We start from the raw sequence: 19,263 nt of genomic DNA, 5'->3' as shown, positions 1-19,263 counted from the left end.
AGAGCTGTGTACAAAGTGTAAGGCAACTCAAAGGGGGCACTTCTATCCCAAATGAATAGAGTGGATGGAAAGAAAATCTGCAAAGGATTATTCGTGATGACCCCTGAACTTCGTCTTCAAAGGGGAATAAGCACTAATCAGTCAATGGATGATGAAGTGGAAGGACAGAGTTTTTGTCACAAGCAAAAGCCTTGAGGCAAGAAACCATAGGGTGCTTGCACAGAATTAGAAGTGGTTTGGTGTTGGTGGATTTAAGTACTAGGCGAAGAATGAGACTGATATGACGGACACAGTCTTTTGTGCCATTTTAAAGAGTGTAGACTTTATCCTGAAGAAGACAAGGCACCACTGATGGGCTTTAAGCTGCAGGGAACCTGCTAGATCCCTCTGATGCATGGGAAAGGTGGATTCAAGAGAGTCAAGGCAGGAAGTGAGTGAGAACAGACTTGCCAAGCCAAAGAAGATGAAGGCCCGAATGAGGGCTGTGGCAGTAGGAATAGAGGGGAGGCAACTCATCTTTAAAATATTTAAGAGGTAAAATATTTGTAGGACTTGATGATTGATCAGGACGGGAGAATTGAGGGAAAGGAATCAAGAGGAAGGCCAGGCTAAGGCAAGTCACTTTTTCTGGGCTTCTGGTTCTTTGTGTTTAAATGAGTGGGCTGGACCAGGATTGACGCACACATCCCTCCCAGTTCTGAAGTCCTGTGATTCTGGGCAGCCTTTCTCTGGGCGCAGAGAAAGGAAGCTCTATGATACATGGGTGTTCTCACCACAGCTTAGATAGTTGCTTAAAAGAGACTCATAGTTTCTCAGCTTCTCTGACAGCTTCTCAGGATGGGAGGTGGCAGGCAGAGCTGAGATGGCTTTAGAACTGCCAGCCAATGCAGGGAAATCTAGTGCGGTTACCAGGTAGCCGGAGTTATAATTAGCCTCGTTGCTAGGGCAAGGCTGAGATTCTGTAGGCATGGACTGCCAGCAACAGCTTTTCCCTGCTGGGTGAATTTACTTGTTTGAAAGAACAAAGTGGGTATGGATGGGGTGTTTTTAAATGTGTTTTAGATAATTTAAATTTTGCCCTAGGTATAGGATATGTTTAAAGCAGAAAACAGGTTTGTGTTGGGGCTGATCAACATCTTGCCTGGGGCAGAAGGAGTGAGGAAAAATTCCACTCTGTTATATGTTTGGATAGCTGGAAAGAGACTTACTTTCACCTGAAGGAAGATAAGTAAGAACATAAAATCATTATTCAGAGGTAGAGAGGATCTTGAAGATAATCTACATAATCCTTTCACTTTTTAAGAAAACCATTTATTTAAAAATAATTTTAGACTTATAGCAAAGTTATAAAAATAGTACAGAGTGTTCCCGTATGCCATTCACTCAGCTTCCTCTAAAGAATAAACCCTTCATTTTAAAGATAAGATGACTAAAGCTCAGAATAGTAATTTGCCTAACGTCACACGGTAAATTAGTAGCCAAGCTGAGACTAGAATCCAGGAGCCCTAACTACCTGTTCAGGCTGCTTACAATGACCTCTGGGACCTTCAACAAAAATTCAAGAAATGTAAGTGCTTGTCAGAACTTAGTTTTTCTTTCTTTTTGCATTACTGGGCTAAAATAGAACTCACACAGCAGGAGCTAGAGTAATTCACAGAGAGATGAATCTGCACTCTGTGCCTACTGCCAAAAGAAAAGGTTTAGTTCCTCAGCCTCCTCAGGAGTTTCATCCATATGTTTTCAAAAGTCACCGTGAACATATTTTTCTCTTTTGCCTTGCTCCCTGCTCTGGCTTTTGCCATCTCATCTGATCAAGTTCAACTGCACAGAGAGAGGAGGCTCTATGATACATGGAGTAGGCACAGAGCGGGGCTGGTGCAAACTGGAAAGGGGCCCGCCCTATCATGTTCAATAGCAGCTAATCCACCCACACACCGACAGCAGTGATCCGACTTGGTACATGCCGTTCTGTGGAGAGCTAAGTAATAGTCATGTGGCTTTTTGCCAAGCAACTTTAGAAGTGACATTGGGCCACAGTGGGCAGTTACTATCCCTGTTATTTAGAAACTTGGCTTGATGAAGTGGGGAGTGAATGCAAGGCACAAGCTGCATTGTAATGCCAGCTTTTCATATCCCAGCCTCATGTAAGCCCTGCTGCTGCAAAGGGCTACAGGCCACCTCTTCATGCACACAGGACTTTAGAAAGCCCACCCAGAGGCTTGGGAAGAGGAAGCCCTTCTTTAAGGTGCCTGGATGAGCGGCAGGGAGGCTGCCAGCATGATGGCTATGATCTGGAGCTGCAGAAAGAGGGTCTAGGCACTGGTCAAGGGCCTGAAGTCAGCCAGTTCTTTCAGGTCACTTTTTCTTGGTAAGTCTCAGATCTTCTCCCTGAGACCACACAGGTAGCTTCCTCTCTCAGAGTTACTCCGTCAGACCTCACACTCCAGATTCTCATCAGTCAAGCTCAGTATCTGCTCAACACAAAAGTAAATCTAGTCTTGCCCACTGTGAACTCCGAAAATTTGAGACAGGTCTCAGTAAATTTAGAAAGTTTATTTTGCCAAGGTTGAGGACACGTGCCCCTGGCATAGCCTCAGGAAGTCTTTATGACATGTGACCAAGGTGTTTGGGGCACAGCTTGGTTTTGTACATTCTAGGGAGACATGAGACATCAATCAATGTATGTAAGAAGTACATTGGTTCGGTCTGGAAAGGCGGGACAACTTGAAGCAAAGGCAGGAAAACTTGCAGTGGGGGAGGCGGCTTCTAGGTCACAGAAGAGAGACAAAAGGTTGCATTCTTTTGAGTTTCTAATTAGCCTTTCCAAAGGAGGCAATCAGATATGCATTTATCTCAGTGAGCAGAGAGATAACTTTGAATAGAATGGGAGGCAGGTTTGCCCTAAACAGTTTCCAGCTTGAGTTTTCCTTTTATTTTTTGTATTTTCATTTCCATAGGTTATTGGGGAACAGATGGTGTTTGGTTACATGAGTAATTTCTTTAGTGGTGATTTGTGAGATTTTGGTGCACCCATCACCCAAGCAGTATATACTGCACCCTATTTGTGATCTTTTATCCCTCACCCACTTCCCCCCCTTTCCCCTTGAGTCCCCAAAGTCCACTGTGTCATTCTTATGCCTTTGTATCCTTATAGCTTAGCTCCCACTTATGAGTGAGAACATACAATGTTTGGTTTTCCTTTCCTGCCTTACTTCACTTAGAATGATAGTCTCCAATCTCATCCAGATCATTGTGAATGCGTTAATTTATTCCTTTTATTGGCTGAGTAGTATTCTATCATATATATATATATATATATATATCCATCATATATATATATATATGTGTGTATATACACACCACAGTTTCTTTATCCACTCATTGATTGGTGGGCACTTGGGTTGGTTCCACGTTTTTGCAGTTGTGAACTGTGCTGCTATACGTATGCGTGTTCAAGTATCTTTTTTGTATAATGACTTCTTTTCCTCTAGGTAGATACCCTGTAGTGGGATTGCTGGATCAAATGGTAGTTCTACTTTTAGTTTTTTAAGGAATCTCCACATTGTTTTCCATAGTGGCTGTACTAGTTTACATTCCCACAAGCAGTGTAGAAGTGTTCCCTGTTCACTGCATCCACATACATATCTACTATTTTTTTATTTTTTTGATTATGGCCATTCTTGCAGGAGTAAGGTGGTATCACATTGTGGTTTTGATTTGCATTTCCCTGATTATTAGCGATGTTGAGCCTTTTTTCATATGTTTGTTGGCCATTTGTATATCTTCTTTTGAGAACTGTCTATTCATATCCTTAGCCCACTTTATGATGGGATTGTTTGTTTTTTTCTTGCTGATTTGTTTGAGTTTGTTGTAGATTCTGGATGTTAGTCCTTTGTCAGATGTACAGACTGTGAAGATTTTCTCCCACTCTGTGGGTTGTCTGTTTACTCTGCTGACTGTTCCTTTTGCCGTGCAAAAGCTCTTTAGTTTAATTAAGTCCCAGCTGTTTGTCTTTGTTTTTATTGCATTTGCTTTTGGGTTCTTGGTCGTGAAATCCTTGCCTAAGCCAATGTCTATAAGGGTTTTTTCGATGATACCTTCTAGAATTTTTATAGTTTCAGAACTTAGATTTAAATCCTTAATCCATCTTGAGCTGATTTCTGTGTAAGGTGAGAGATGAGGATCCAGTTTAGTTCTCTTACGTGTGGCTAGCCAATTATCCCAGCACCATTTGTTGAAAAGGGTGTCCTTTCCCCACTTTATGTTTTTGTTTGCTTTGTCGAAGATCAGTTGGCTGTAAGTATTTGAGTTTATTTATGGGTTATCTATTCTGTTCCATTGGTCTCTGTGCCTATTTTTATGCCAGTATCATGCTGTTTTGGTGACTATGGCCTTATAGTATAGTTTGAAATCAGGTAATGTGATGCCTATAGATTTATTCTTTTTGCTTAGTCTTGCTTTGGCTATGCGGGCTCCTTTTTGGTTCCATATGAGTTTTAGAATTGTTTTTTCTAATTCTGTAAAGAATGATGGCGGTATTTTGATGGGAATTGTGTTAAATTTGTAGATTGCTTTTGGCAGTATGGTCATTTTCACAATATTGATTCTACCCATCCATGAGCATGGGATGTGTTTCCATTCATTTGTGTCGTCTATGATTTCCTTCAGCAGTGTTTTGTAGTTTTCCTTGTAGAGGTCTTTCACCTCCTTGGTTAGGTATATTCCTAAGTATTTTATTTTATTTTATTTTTTGCAGCTGTTGTAAAAGGGGTTGAGTTCTTGATTTGATTCTCAGCTTGGTCGCTGTTGGTGTATAGAAGAGCTACTGATTCGCATGCATTAATTTTGTATCCAGAAATTTTGCTGAATTGTTTTATCAGTTCTAGGAGCTTTCTGGAGGACTCTAGGATTTTCTAAGTAAACAATAATATCATCAGCAAATAGTGACAGTTTGACTTCCTCTATAACAATTTGGATCCCCTTTATTTCTTTCTCTTGTCTTGCTCTGGCTAGGACTTCCAGAACTATGTTGAAGAGGAGTGGTGTGAGTGGGCATCCTTGTCTTGTTTCAGTTCTCAGAGGAAATGCTTTTAACTTTTCCCCCAGTCATTATTACGTTGGCTGTGGGTTTGTCATAGATGGCTTTTATTACATTGAGATATGTCCCTTGTATGCTGATTTTGCTGAGAGTTTTAATCATAAGGGGATGCTGGATTTTGTCAAATGCTTTTTCTGCATCTATTGAGATGATCATGGTGATTTTTGTTTTTAATTTTGTTTATGTGGTGTACCACATTTATTGACTTGCGTATGTTAAACCTCCCTGCATCCCTGGTATGAAACCCACTTGATCATGGTGGATTATATTTTTGATATGTTGTTGGATTCGGTTAGCTAGTATTTTGTTAAGGATTTTAGTATCGATGTTCATCAAGGATATTGGTCTGCAGTTTTCTTTTTTGGTTATGTCCTTTTCTGGTTTTGGTATTAGGGTGATGCTGGCTTCGTAGAATGATTTAGGGAGGGTTCCCTCTTTCTCAATCCTATGAAATAGTGTCAATAGGATTGGTACCAATTCTTTGAATGCCTGGTTACATTCTGCTGTGAATCCATCCGGTCCTGGACTTTTTTTGTTGGTAATGTTTAAATTAGCATTTCAATCTTGTTGCTTGTTATTGGTCTGTTCAGAGTATCTAATTCTTCCTGATTTAAGCTAGGAGGGTTGTATCTTTCCAGGAATTTATCCATCTCTTCTAGGTTTTTTTTTTTTTGAGATGGAGTCTTGCTCTGTCGCCTAGGCTGGAGTGCAGTGGTGCGATCTCGGCTCACTACAAGCTCCGCCTCCCGGGTTCATGCCATTCTCCTGCCTCAGCCTCCCGAGTAGCTGGGACTACAGGTGCCCACCATGGCGTCCGGCTAATTTTTTGTATTTTTATTTTTATTTTTTATTTTTTATTTATTTTATTTTATTATTATTATACTTTAAGTTTTAGGGTACATGTGCACAACGTGCAGGTTAGCTACATATGTATACATGTGCCATGCTGGTGTGCTGCACCCATTAACTCGTCATTTAGCATTAGGTATATCTCCTAATGCTATCCCTCCCCCCTCCCCCCACCCCACAACAGTCCCTAGAGTGTGATGTTCCCCTTCCTGTGTCCATGTGTTCTCATTGTTCAATTCCCACCTATAAATAATGCCGCATATCTACAACTATCTGATCTTTGACAAACCTGAGAAAAACAAGCAATGGGGAAAGGATTCCCTATTTAATAAATGGTGCTGGGAAAACTGGCTAGCCATATGTAGAAAGCTGAAACTGGATCCCTTCCTTACACCTTTTTTGTATTTTTAGTAGAGACGGGGCTTCACCATGTTAGCCAGAATGGTCTCGATCTCCTGACCTTGTGATCCGCCCACCTTGGCCTCCCAAAGTGCTGGGATTACAGGCGTGAGCCACCACGCCCGGCAGCTTTATTTATCTTTTCAAAGAACCAGGTTTTCATTTCATTTATCTTTTGTATTTTTTGTTTGTTTGTTTCAGTTTCATTTAGTTCTGCTCTGATCTTGGTTATTTCCTTTCTTCTGCTGGTTTGGGTTTGGTTTGTTCTTGTTTCTCTAGTTCCTTGAAGTGTGACCTTTGATTGTCTGTTTGTGCTCTTTTAGACTTTTTGATGTAGGTGTTTAGGAATATGAACTTTCCTTTTAGCACTGACTTTGCTGTATTCCAGAAGTTTTGATAGGTTGTATCACTATTTTTGTTCAATTTGAAGATTTTTTTAATTTCCATCTCGATTTCATGATCATTCAGGAGCAGGTTAATTTCCATGTATTTGCATGGTTTTGAAAGCTCCTTTTGGAGTTGATTTCCAGTTTTATTCCACTGTGGTCTGAGAGAGTGCTTGATAAAATTTCAATTTTCTTAAATTTATTGCGGCTTGTTTTGTGGCCTACCATGTGGTCTATCTTGGAGAAAGTTCCATGCACTGTTGAATAGAATGTATATTCTGCAGTTGTTGGATGGAATGTTCTGTATATATGTGTTAAGTCCATGTGTTCCAGGGTATAGTTTAAATCCATTGTTTCTTTGTTGACTTTCTGTCTCATTGGCCTGTCTAGTGCTGTCAGTGACATATTGAAGTCCCCCACTATTATTGTGTTACTGTCTATCTCATTTCTTAGGTCTATTAGTGATGGTTTTATAAATTTGGGAGCTCCAGTGTTAGGTGCATATATGTTTAGGATTGTGATATTTTCCTGTTGGACAAGGCCTTTTATCATTATATAATGCCGCTCTTTGTCTTTTTTAACTGCAATTTCTTTAAAGTTTGTTTTGTCTGATATAAGAATAACTACTGCTGGGCCAGGCACGGTGGCTTATGCCTGTAATCCTAGCACTTTGGGAGGCCAAGGCAGGCAGATCACCCCTGCCTGTACTAAACCTATCTGTACTAAAAATACAAAAATTAGCTGGGCATGGTGGTGCACACCTGTAGTTCCAGCTACTTGGGAAGCTGACACAGGAGAATTGCTTGAACCTGGGAGGCGGAGGTTGCAGTGAGCCAAGATCGCGCCATTGCACTCCAGCCTGGACTACAAGAGTGAAACTCCATCTCAAAAAAACCAAAAAAACAAAAAAACAATAGTTACTTCTGCTTGCTTTTGCTTTTGGTGTCCATTTGCATGAAATGTCTTTTTCCACCCCTTTACCTTAAGTTTATGTGAGTCCTTATGTGTCAGATAAGTCTCTTATGTGTTAGGTGAGTCTCTTAAAGGCAGCAGATAGTTGGTCGGTTAATTCTTATCCATTCTGCAATTCTGTATCTTTTAAGTGGCGCATTTCGGCCATTTACATTCAATGTTAGTATTGGGATGTGAGGTACCATTCCGTTCATTGTGCTTTTTGTTGCCTGTATACCTTGGTTTTTTGGGTTTTGTTTTTGTTTTTTTGAATTGTATTTTTGTTTTATAGGTCCTGTGAGATTTATATTTTAAAGAGGTTCTGTTTTGATGTGTTTCCAGGTTTTGTTTCAAGATTTGAAGCTTCTTTTAGCAATTCTTGTAGCGCTGGCATGGTAGTGGCAAATTCTCTCAGCATTTGTTTGTCTGAAAAATACTGTATCTTCTCTTCGTATACGAAGCTTAGTTTCACTGGATACAAAATTCTCGGCTAATAATTGTTTTGTTTTAGGATGCTGAAGATAGGGGCCCAATCCCTTCTGGCTTGTAGGATTCCTGCTGAGAAATCTGCTGTTAATCTGACAGGTTTTCCTTCATAGGTTACTGGGTTCTTTTGTCTCACAGCTCTTAAGATTCTTTCTTTTGTCTTAACTTTAGATAACCTGATGACAATGTGCCTAGGTGACGATCTCTTTGCAATAAATTTCCCAGGTGTTCTTTGTGCTTCTTGTATTTGTTTAGGTCTCTAGCAAGGTTGGGGAAATTTTCCTCAATTATTCCCCCAAATATGTTTTTCAAACTTTTAGATTTCTCTTCTTCCTCAGCAATGCCAATTATTCTTAGGTTTGGTCATTTAACATAATCCCAGAGTTTTTGGAGGCTTTGTTCATATTTTCTTATTTGTTTTTCTTTGTCTTGGTTGGATTGGGTCAAATTGAAGACTTTGTGTTCGAGCTCTGAATTTCTTTCTTCTACTTGTTTGATTCTATGGCTGAGACTTTCCAGACCATTTTGCATTTCTATAAGTAAATACTAACACAGTATTTGGTGTGTCTCCTGGGTCCTGCAGGAGCCATCTGCTTCCTTCAGGGGGCCTGTGGGTCCTCTCAGGTTTTGTAATTTATTCCTCCAGTCGTTCTGGAGCAAAAATTCATGATATGAGCCTCCACATGCTTCTCTGTCCATCCGAGTCGGAGCTGCAATCTAGTCCTGACTTCCATCCACCATGATCCTGAGTTTTCCTTTTAGCTTAGTGATTTTGGGAGCCCAAGATATTTTCCTTTCCCACCCACCTAGCACAGTTGTATTGATGACAACAGGGTTGTCAACTCTCTACTTCAAAAATCAGGAAGTGCTGGGTCCAGAGCTGGATTCCCAGAGTCTTCCTGTAGCAGAAATCAAATGAAGGCGGTGAACTTCTGGGACTCAGAGGAGCAGATCCCTTAGAGGTGGGGAGCAGTATTGTTCTAAGGCTTGTTCTTTCCAACCCCTTCTAGTCTGTGGGATTGTGGGGAAGCTCAGCTTGCTGACAAAACCATTTGGAGCCTCAGAAGACTAGGAGGCAGGTTAGTAATAACCAGTCCCTGCCATCTTCTGTGAAGCTGGGGTGAGAGCAGACAGGTTCCTTCAGCTGTGTGGAAGCTTGGTTCTGTAGGGAGCACATAAAAGGGCTGGAGAGAATTGCTGCAGTTAGAGGATGGTGATGTCAATTAGGAATGGAATTCCACCTGACGCTTTCTGAGTTGGCCTTCAACTGCTAGCTTCCAAATTTCTACCTCCCGTCTCCTTCCTCCTGTTTTCTCTACTGCTGCAAGGGGACAGGGTCTTAACCAGTGCCTAACGTTCTTGATATAAGGTGCAGGAAAATAAATGGTTATAAGGAAAGCAGCCTGAGGACTCCTTCCCTATAATTTGCAGCTACTTTATCTGCAGAAGAGGTTTCTAGACCCAGGTCTTGTCCCATCTTCTGGTATTAAATTCTTCCTACTCTTAGGCCCTTTCTGTCCTTCTTTGCCCCATATCCTCCCCCCACTTTTCCCAAATTCACTCATGCACATGGCAAGTAAACGCTAAATACTTCCCATTTAAATGCTATAGAGGAAGAAATCTGTTTTGTGTTTACTGTGTGCCAGGCACCATGTTATGCATTTTACACATATTTAATTTCAACCATATAATAGTCCTATGAAGTGGGTGTCTTGTTCCCATTTTTCACAGGATGAAATTTGCCATCAATAGGCTCAGGGAGAGTACCTGGTATCCCAGCAGCCGTGTGGCCTCATTCTACAGTTAAGCAAGGCTTTGGTACATTCTTTAGAATTTAGTTAGTAACTCTTTCAAATGCAAATGATGTTTTCCAGTGAATAACTACATTGTGTTATTCACTGGAGAGAAAGAAAGGACTCTAGTAAAATGATATTTACTTTCGTAGTGACTTTTGCCAAGATTGTGGCAGGAAGGGGTGGCATTGTCTCATTGAGGTACCTGCAGTACAAGGTGGCATTGACCTCATTTTTACTCTTAAAACAGGTGCAACTTGCCGTGTGCAATGTGCCTGGGCTGTCCTTATCTGTATAGGTTGCCCTGTTAGGCTTGTGCTGAGTCTGGTTTGGAACTCCAGAATTCAGAGGAAATAGGAAATTCGTTAAACCAAACTAAAAAGGTTAGAAAATGAGGCTTATGTGAAAAGGGCAATGGAATTGGGATTTTTACTTTGGGGGAAAACAGACTTACAGGTGACCTAATAATGCCTTTTAGGTACTGAAGTCTCAATATGTGACAAGTGGTAATTAGTTATTCTCTGTCTCTGCCGAAGATAAGAATAGGTCAATCCTAGTTTAAACTAAACATTAGTCTTCATTCATTTAAAAATATGTACTAAGCCCCTACTGTGTTCTAGATTCTATTGGAGGTGACTGGAGTATATATCAATATATTCATGTATAAGTCTTTGTTTTATTTCTTTCGGGTAAATACCCAGTAGTGGAACTGTTAGGTCATATAATAAGCACATACAGGCATTCCCATCCTCATAGAACTTATAGTCTGTCATGAGTAGACAGAAAATAAACAATAAATATTATAAATAAAGTATGTAGAATGTTGGAAAGTGAAAGTCCTCTTGGGACAGGGGAAGGAGAGCATTTAAATGCTTCCCATTTATTTCTGATCAGCTCTTGATAGAAAAAAAATTGCTCCCTATTTAAATCCTATGGAAGAAGAAATCCATTTAGTGTTTACTATAAGCCAGGCACCATGTTATGCATTTTACACATATTTAATCTCAATCAAGTAATAGTCCTACGAAGTGGGGGTCTTGCCCCACTTCAAAAATGAGCAAAGGTGTGGTGGCTCAAATCTGAAACTCCAGCACTTTGGGAGGCAGTGGTGGAAGGATTGCTAGAGCCTAGGAGGTCAAGGCTGCAGTGAGCTGTGTTTGCATCACTGAACTCCAGTGATCAGACTGCACTCCTGGGCAACAGATCGAGACCTTGTCCCAACTAAAAAATGGGCAAAGGACATGAACGGAAGACATACATGGGGCCAACAAATATTTGAAAAAATTCTCATGCTCAATATCACTGATCATTAGAGAAATGCAAGTCAAAACCACAATGAGACACCATTGCACACCAGTCAGAATGCCTACTGTGAAAAACAAAAAATAAGGTGTTGGCAAGGTTGTAGAGAAAAGTGCTTATACGCTGTTGGTGAGAATGTAAATTAGTTCAGTCACTGCGGAAAGCAGTTTGGTGATTTCTCAAAGAATTTAAAAGAGAACTACCATTTGACCCAGCAATCCCATTACTGGATATATACCCAAAGGAAAATAAATTGTTCTACCAAAAAGACACATGCACTTACATGTTCACTGCAGCACTATCCACAATAGCAAAGGCATGGAATCAACCTAGATACACATCAACAGTAGACTGGGGAGGAAAAATACGGTACATATAAAGCACGGAATACTATGCATCCATTAAAAGAATGAAATCATGTCTTCTGCAGCAAAAGAGATGCAGCTGGAGGCCATTATCCTAAGCTAATTAACACAGGCACAGAAAACCAAATACTGCATGTTCTCACTTATAAGTGAGAGCAAAACTTTGAGACATGGACACAAAGATGGGAACAATAAGCACTGGGGCCTACCCCAGTGGAAGGTAGAAGGGGGGCGAGGGTTGAAAAGCTAACTATTGGGTACTATACTTACTACCTGCGTGATGGGTTCATTCATACACCAAACCTCCGCAACATGCAAGTTACCCATGTAACAAACCTGCACATGTACCCCCTGAACCTAAAACAAATGTTGAAAAAAAATTACAGGAGTGGAGAGCAGGTTGCAGTATTAAGGAGTGGCCAGGAGAGGCCGTGTTTAGAAAGCGATTTAAAACACCCTTCCATACCCAAATGCACAGCCACCCCTACCCCCATCCCTCCTTCACCCCCCAACACATTTATTATCTCACAGTGTGTGTGGGTCAGGAATCCAGGCACCGCTTAGCTGGGTTGTCTGCTTAGGGTCTCCCTAGGCTACAGCCAAGGTATTGGCCAGGCTGCATTCTCCTCTAGAGGCTTGACTGAGGAATCTGACTCAGAGCTCACTTGGGCTGTCAACAGAATCCATTTCTTTGTAGCAGTAGGACTGAGGGCCTTGACTTCTTGCCAGAGGTTGGCTAGAGTCTGTCCAGGGTTCCTTGAAGTCACCTAGTGTTCCTTGCCATGTGAGCTTTCCCCATATGGCCACTTCAAGTCAGCAAGGAGAGGCTCTACAGCAAATCTGCAAGCAAGAGAGCCTTGAAATTTAATATAATCACAGGAGTGACATTCCTTCACCTTTGCCATATTCTATTGGTTAGAAGTAAGTCGCAGGGCCTGCTCATACCCAAAGAGAAGGAGTTACACAAGGGCACAAACACCAAGAGGCGGGGATCATGGGGAGCCACACTGTAGTTTGTGGACCACACTACCTTTTACTTTTTTTTTTTGAAAGGATGGGATGGAAAGGGAAGCAAATAAACATGACAGTTACCAGTGCAGGAAGATTTGTTTCTAGGTTTACCTTCACAGCATTTATGGCCTTCCAAGCTGACCTGAGGCAATGAAAGCATCCTAGACTGGTAGTCTCCATGCCAACCAAGCTCTTTACTCATTCTTTGCACGTGGCAGTTTGCATTGCCACTTGCTATGTGATTTTAGTTTTTCCTTTCATGTTTTGTTTAAATAAACTTTATTAAGTATGCAGTTAGATAAATTTTAACAAATGTATACCACTGTATAACAAACACCACACAATCAAGATAAAAAAATACTTCCATCACACCAAAAAAGTTTCCATATGTCCTACTGGTGCCACGTGTTTCAAACCTTTCATACCTCTGGCTGCAGAAAACCACTGATCTGCTTTCTGTTGATAGATAGTTCTGTCTATTGTAGAATTTCATTGAAAGTGAATCATAAAATACAGACTATAGTATCTGGCTCTTAGAATAATGATTTTGAGTTTCATCCATGCTATTTGTATCAGTAGTACATTCATTTTTATTGCTGAGTAGTATTCCATTGTATGAATATAATACAATTTGTTTATTCATTCATTTGTTGATGAATGTATGAGTTGTGTTCAGTAACAGGCTATTATGGATTAAGCTGCTATGAATATTCATGTAACAAGTCTTTGTTTTATTTCTTTTGGGTAAATGCCCAGTAGTGGAACTGTTAGGTTATATAATAAGTATATATAGATTAAATATCTCTTATCCGAAATGCTTGAACCAGAAGATTTTCAGATGTGTTCAGATTTTGAAATATTTGCATATACATAATGAGATATCTTGGGGATGGGACCCAAGTCTAAACATGAAATTTATTTATGTTTCATATACACCTTGTACACATAGCCTGAAGGTAATTATGTTTTTCTCTTGGGGATGCTGAATAAACTGGGTGTTGTGCCTGCATTTTTGCTGCAACCTTTCATGAGGTCAGGTATGGAGCTTTCCACCTGAGGTATCATGTTGGTCCTCAAAAAGTTTTGGATTTTGGAACATGCTGGATTTTGAATTTTTAGATTAGGGATGCCCAGTCGGTATTTCTGCCTATTTTCTGAATAGATACTGTCTAACTATTTTTCAAAGTGGCTATGCCATAGAAAATAATTTTCAAATAGCAACTTGAAGGAGATGACGAAGTTGGCCAAACAGAGAACTGGGGGAAGAATATTCCAGGCAGAGAAACATCAGGAAAGCCACTGTGGCTGATGCAGCATAATCAAGATTAAGCATGCTGGAAGATGAGGCCCCAGAGGGTATGGGGCTTGTGTAGTAAGTCCCTGTAGATGATTTTAAAGACTTCAGCTTTTACTCAGAGTGACATGGGAACCTATTGAAGGGTTTTGAGCAGAGGAGGGGTCTAACAAATGCCAGTCCTGTCTGACTTGTTGAAATGATAAATCTGGTTACAGTATTGGTATTGCAAATAGGCTGTAGAACAAAAGTAGACACCAGGAGGACTCTTAGGAAGACACTGCAGTAATGTATGTAGGGGCTGATAGTGATCAGACTTAGGTAATAGTGATGCATGTGGGAACAAGTGGTGAAGGTAGCAAATCTAAAAGGATTTTGCCAATGGATTGGATACAGAATGGGAGAGAAATAAAGGAATCAAGGAAAATTCCAGGGTTTTTGGAGTAAGCAACTGGAAGGATGGAGTTGCCATAACTGAGATAGGGAAGGCTACGGATGGAGCAGATTTGAAGGTGGAGAGTAGGGGTTCAGTTTTGGAAATTTGGTGTGTAAGCTATTTGCTAGACATTTTATGTGGCAGTATTAAGTAAGCAGTTGAATACGTAAGTCTAAAGTTCAGGAAATAGAGTAGGGCTAGAGACATAAATTTGGGAGTTATCAGCAAATAGATCATTAAATATTAAATTTAAATATTTAAAGCCATGAAACCATAGGAGATGACCAAAGGAGTTGGAGTTAGACCTTTCCAGGTGGAAGAGAAAAGGACCAGAGACTGGTCCTGTATAGCTCCAACATTAGTAATTTGGAGAAAAGAGGAAGAATCAGAAAAGGAAGATAGAGAAGGTACAAACCAGTGAAGTAGGAGAAAAAGTCTGGAGTCCCGGAAGCCAAATGAAGAATGTGTGTAGTGAAGAGGACAGGATCCACCTTTTGAAATCCTGCTGAGAGCTTGAGTAATACGATAATTAAGAATTGACCTTTGGCCCGCCAGACGTGGTGGCTCACGCCTGTAATCCCAGCACTTTGGGAGGCCAAGGTGGGCCAATCACTTGAGGTCAGGAGTTTGAGACCAGCCTGACCAACATGGTGAAACCCGGTCTCTACTGAAAATACAAAAATTAGCTGGACATGGTGGCGCATGCCTGTAATCCCAGCTACTCAGGAGGCTGAGGCAAGAGAATCACTTGAACCCGGGAGGCGGAGGTTGCAGTGAGCCGAGATTGCACCACTGCACTCCAGCCTGGGCAACAGAGCAAGACTCTGTCTCAAAAAAGAATTGACCTTTGGATTTAACAACATGGATGTCATTAGTGATCTTGATTAAAGTAATTCTGGTGGAGTGGTGAAGACAAAAGCCTGCTTGCAGTGGGCTTAAGAAACAATGTGAGGAGAAGAATTGGAGTCAATGAGGATGAATAATTACTTTGAGTTTTGTTTCAAAGGAGAGCAAAGGAATGGGGCATACCTGATAAGGGTATGAGGTCCATAGGGGATTTCTAGAAAGATAAATGAATAATAGCATGTTCGTATGCCAACAGAATTTTCCATTAGAAAGTGAAATATTGATAAAGAGAAGCAGGGGAGACCTTCTAGGTGTTGCCTTTGAGAGGTAGGGGGAATAGGACTTAATTAATACATAAGTGGAAGGTTTGGCTTTAGATAGGAGCATGGATAGTTGATCTATGGTTATAAGTGGAAAGACAGAGAATGTAACCCGAGATGTGTAGATGGATTCATATGGCGGTAAGAGACTGCCAGTGCTTTCTTCTGGTTTTTTTGTTTGTTTGTTTGTTTGTTTGAGACGGAGTATGTCCCTGTTGCCCAGGCTGGAGTGCAGTGGTGCAATCTCAGCTCACTACAACCTCTGCCTCCTGGGTTCAAGCGATTCTCCTGCCTCAGCCTCCCAAGTAGCTGGGATTACAGGCACACACCACCACACCTGGCTAATTTTTTTGTATCTTTAGTAGAGACAGGGTTTCACCATGTTGACCAAGCTGGTCTCGAACTCCTGACCTTGTGATCCGCCCACCTCGGCCTCCCAAAGTGCTGGGATTACAGGCGTGAGCCACCACACCTGACCCAGGTGGGCCTTTTCTTATCACCACTGCCTGAAATCTTTCCCTCTCTGTGCTCTTCCAGCAATTGCCTACCCAAACCCTAGGCCCAGCCGACTTTGGAGGTCTCCAGTTGAACCTTCACCTTTTACTGGAATGGAGCAGTCTCTGCAAGAGGGGTTGGTGGAAGTAGGAAGCAAAAAAATTGAGAAAAGAAACAGTAAGAAGAGGAAGTTCTTGCAGGGAGAATTGTTTTTCAAGAGAGCTATATTTTTATTTTGAACAGCATCCATTTGTTTGATAAATATATCATTATCTTCTGTGTGTGGGCATTGTGCTAGCAATGCTACAATGGTGAGAAGATAGAGGGAGTCCCTGCCCTCATGACACTTAGAGTTTAGTGTCTGAACATAGTCCGAGCAGCATTGTGATACGCTGACTCCTGTTAAGTACAGTGCCTGTTATCATCCCTGCCCAGTGGTTTTGCTTCACTTATAATTACCTAGAGTCATTTTGGTATTTTGTTGGTTGATGGATGCCAGCACCCCACAAAACTCTCCAAGATGCTATGAGACCACAGGATTAACTGTGATTCAGGTCAGACTATGTCTTAATGCAAAGTACTTAAAGCAAATACATCTTTTTCCTAACATCTTATAGAACAGTGCTGTCCAACGTAAATATAAGCCATACATGTAATTTAAATTTTTCTCATGGCCACATTAAAAAAAGTAAAAAGAAATATGTGAAATTAATGTTAATAATACATTTAAAACATTATCATTTCAACATGAAATCAACATTTTAAAATTATTAATGAGATGTCACATTCTTTTGTTGTAGTTAGTCTTTGAACTCCTGTGCGTGCTAAGTCTGAAATCCTTACAGCACATTTCGATTTGGACTAGTCACATCTCAAGGGTTCAGTAGCCACATGTGGCTCATGCCTGCCATCCTGGATGGTACATCTGTAGAGTCTACAGGGTAAGTGCTGTCTCTAGTGGAAGCAGAGCTTCAGAAGAGTTGCCTGATCATAGGACCTGGCTTCAGGACACAGCCAGGCTTCCAGGGAAGGAGTGACTGCTAGATATTAGAACTTAGTTTCTAATATCTTGTCTGTTTATTGTGTGAGATTCTGTGTAGGAAAAATGGTCCCAGACTTTGCAAAACACCAGTGACTGGCTTTGTCCTTTTTAGAGAACAGATCAAAGTATGTTTCAATCCAGAATTGAAAGCTGAATTTGGGGATAAATGTCAGATTATGTTAGATGTTACAGATAATTTAAAAATATTTAGCAAGTTTCCTATGCAACAATTTATCTATAGAAAAATTAATATAGTTTTTATATTCCAAAGTAAGGTTTTACTTAGTTTCCAGTTCTATAGCTGCTGCCCAAAGAAAACATTTATGTGAGAAGTTAAGGAAGTAAAGGGTGGTTCCCGTGAGCTCCAGTTCCTAAATAGCTGAGAAAAACAAACATTCTGAACATCCCCTTTAGCTCCTTCGGCAGGGCTGGGCTCCTGTCTCCACACAAGGTGTCCTGGGGCATTACAGGGGCTCCAGACTTACCCCTGGCTTTTGCAGGGGGCCTGCCCTTTGCTAAATTAAGCCCAGCCAGGCCTATCTGTGAACAGAGAGGCTCCAGCCGAGTGAGAGAGATTGGTTCTGCTAAGGAATGTCCTGGGGAGGGGAGAGAATCGCTGAGATCATGGGTATTTATGTGTATGTTTTCTCACTGGCCAGCTCAGTTGGGCCACATCAACAGAGGCCTCTGGGACACGACCAAGATTCTAACAGAGTGACTATAGGGAATGAATAGCTCATGACACACTGAGAAGGGTTTAATTGGAGATCAGTGTGAATACCACAGCAGAATGTATCTTGGGAACTCTGTGCTCAGAGTCTAAATAAAACAAGCAGAACACCTCATTTTCCCTCATTTTTCTTTTTGTTTAAAAAAATGGATTTTGTTTTTTATTTTATTTTTTATTTTTTAGTTTTTTAAAATGAGATAGGGTCTTTCTATGTTGCCCGGGCTGGTCTCAAACTCCTGGGCTCGAGGGATCCTTCTGCTTCAGCCCCCCAAAGTGCTAGGATTACAAGTGTGAGCCACCAGGCCTGGTCAGATTTTGTTTTTTAGAGCAGTTTTAAGCTCACGGCAAAGTTAAGCAGAAGAGCCAGAGATTTCCCATTTACTCCCTGCCCCTACATACATACCTGTGTATATACAGCCTCCCCCACTATCCAAACCCAAAGATGTCTCATTTTGATATATCTTTTCTTGGATTCTTAAGCTTAGTGTTGACCAGAAATACCTCTTATTATGATTCATGCATCTGACTATCTTTGGGAAAACTAACATTTATTGAACACCCACTATATGTCAGGTATTTTTTTTTAACATCTTTTCATTTACAACCCTGAAAGGTAGGGGTATTAGCACCATTAAAAAAACTAACAACAGAAGGAAATGAAACTTAGGTTAAAATGATTTACCACTAGAATACAGAGATGAACTACGTGAAACTGTAAAAAAATGATTGAATATCTCCATTTTTATATGGTTCAACCTAATAGAATGTGAGAGGGCTCATATTTGAACCCAGGCCAATTTAGTTCAAAAGCCTATACTTTGCATTGTACTGTACTACTGCCCTAAAATTACTAGAATAGCACTGGATTCTTTATTTTCCCTTGGGGGTGCTGTAGTTTCACATAGATGTAGATTTATATTCCTGCTCCTTAGAAGACTAGAACAGCGATGCTTAGAGAAAGAGCAAACCAAGGTATGGTATATCTTGAGTTAGAGTAGGAGTTGAGTTGAGTGGGAGCCTAAGTTTAGAGACTAAAGCTAGGAGTTATATGATGGACCCGCACTGATTCGTGTATCTGCTGCTATTTATATCTGCCACCTGTGTGCATTTCCATACAGCTGATTCTCGGTTCTCTTTTGTTTGTTACATGCTATGATAATCATTGGTTTAATTAACCCCATAGGCTGTAAATTCTCTGAAGACTGTGATTCTGTCTGTTTTGCTCTTTCTAGTACCTATTAAAGTGTTGGCACATACCAAGTAGGTGCTTACTAAGTATTTTATGAAAAAGCAAATGAATAAACAAATGATACTATCTCAGCTACTCTGTCCTCTGCCCAATGAGCACTGTCTCTGTCTTTGCCTCTGTCTCTCTCTCTCTCTACACACACACACACACACACACACACACACACACACACATACACACACCCTAGCTGTGTCTATCCAAACACCTAATC

The 19,263-nt window shown here is 40.8% G+C and overlaps 3 annotated features.

Annotated features, from left to right (window-relative positions):
- Positions 787 to 1,311: an enhancer, noted in NCBI's record as "H3K27ac-H3K4me1 hESC enhancer chr1:144983763-144984287 (GRCh37/hg19 assembly coordinates)". NCBI's record gives its function as "activates a minimal SCP1, AML or CMV promoter by ChIP-STARR-seq in primed H9 embryonic stem cells {active_cell/tissue: H9 hESC(primed)}" and the evidence as "EXISTENCE:reporter gene assay evidence [ECO:0000049][PMID:30033119]".
- Positions 2,520 to 3,391: an enhancer, noted in NCBI's record as "OCT4-NANOG-H3K27ac-H3K4me1 hESC enhancer chr1:144706370-144707235 (GRCh37/hg19 assembly coordinates)". NCBI's record gives its function as "activates a minimal SCP1, AML or CMV promoter by ChIP-STARR-seq in primed H9 embryonic stem cells {active_cell/tissue: H9 hESC(primed)}" and the evidence as "EXISTENCE:reporter gene assay evidence [ECO:0000049][PMID:30033119]".
- Positions 17,309 to 18,094: an enhancer, noted in NCBI's record as "H3K27ac hESC enhancer chr1:144691669-144692454 (GRCh37/hg19 assembly coordinates)". NCBI's record gives its function as "activates a minimal SCP1, AML or CMV promoter by ChIP-STARR-seq in primed H9 embryonic stem cells {active_cell/tissue: H9 hESC(primed)}" and the evidence as "EXISTENCE:reporter gene assay evidence [ECO:0000049][PMID:30033119]".

The sequence above is a fragment of the Homo sapiens genome, chromosome 1, assembly GCF_000001405.40.
Source record: "Homo sapiens chromosome 1, GRCh38.p14 Primary Assembly".
NCBI lineage: Eukaryota > Metazoa > Chordata > Mammalia > Primates > Hominidae > Homo > Homo sapiens.
The sequence above is the reverse complement of the archived record's forward strand: the minus strand, read 5'-3'. Positions and strand labels throughout refer to the sequence as shown.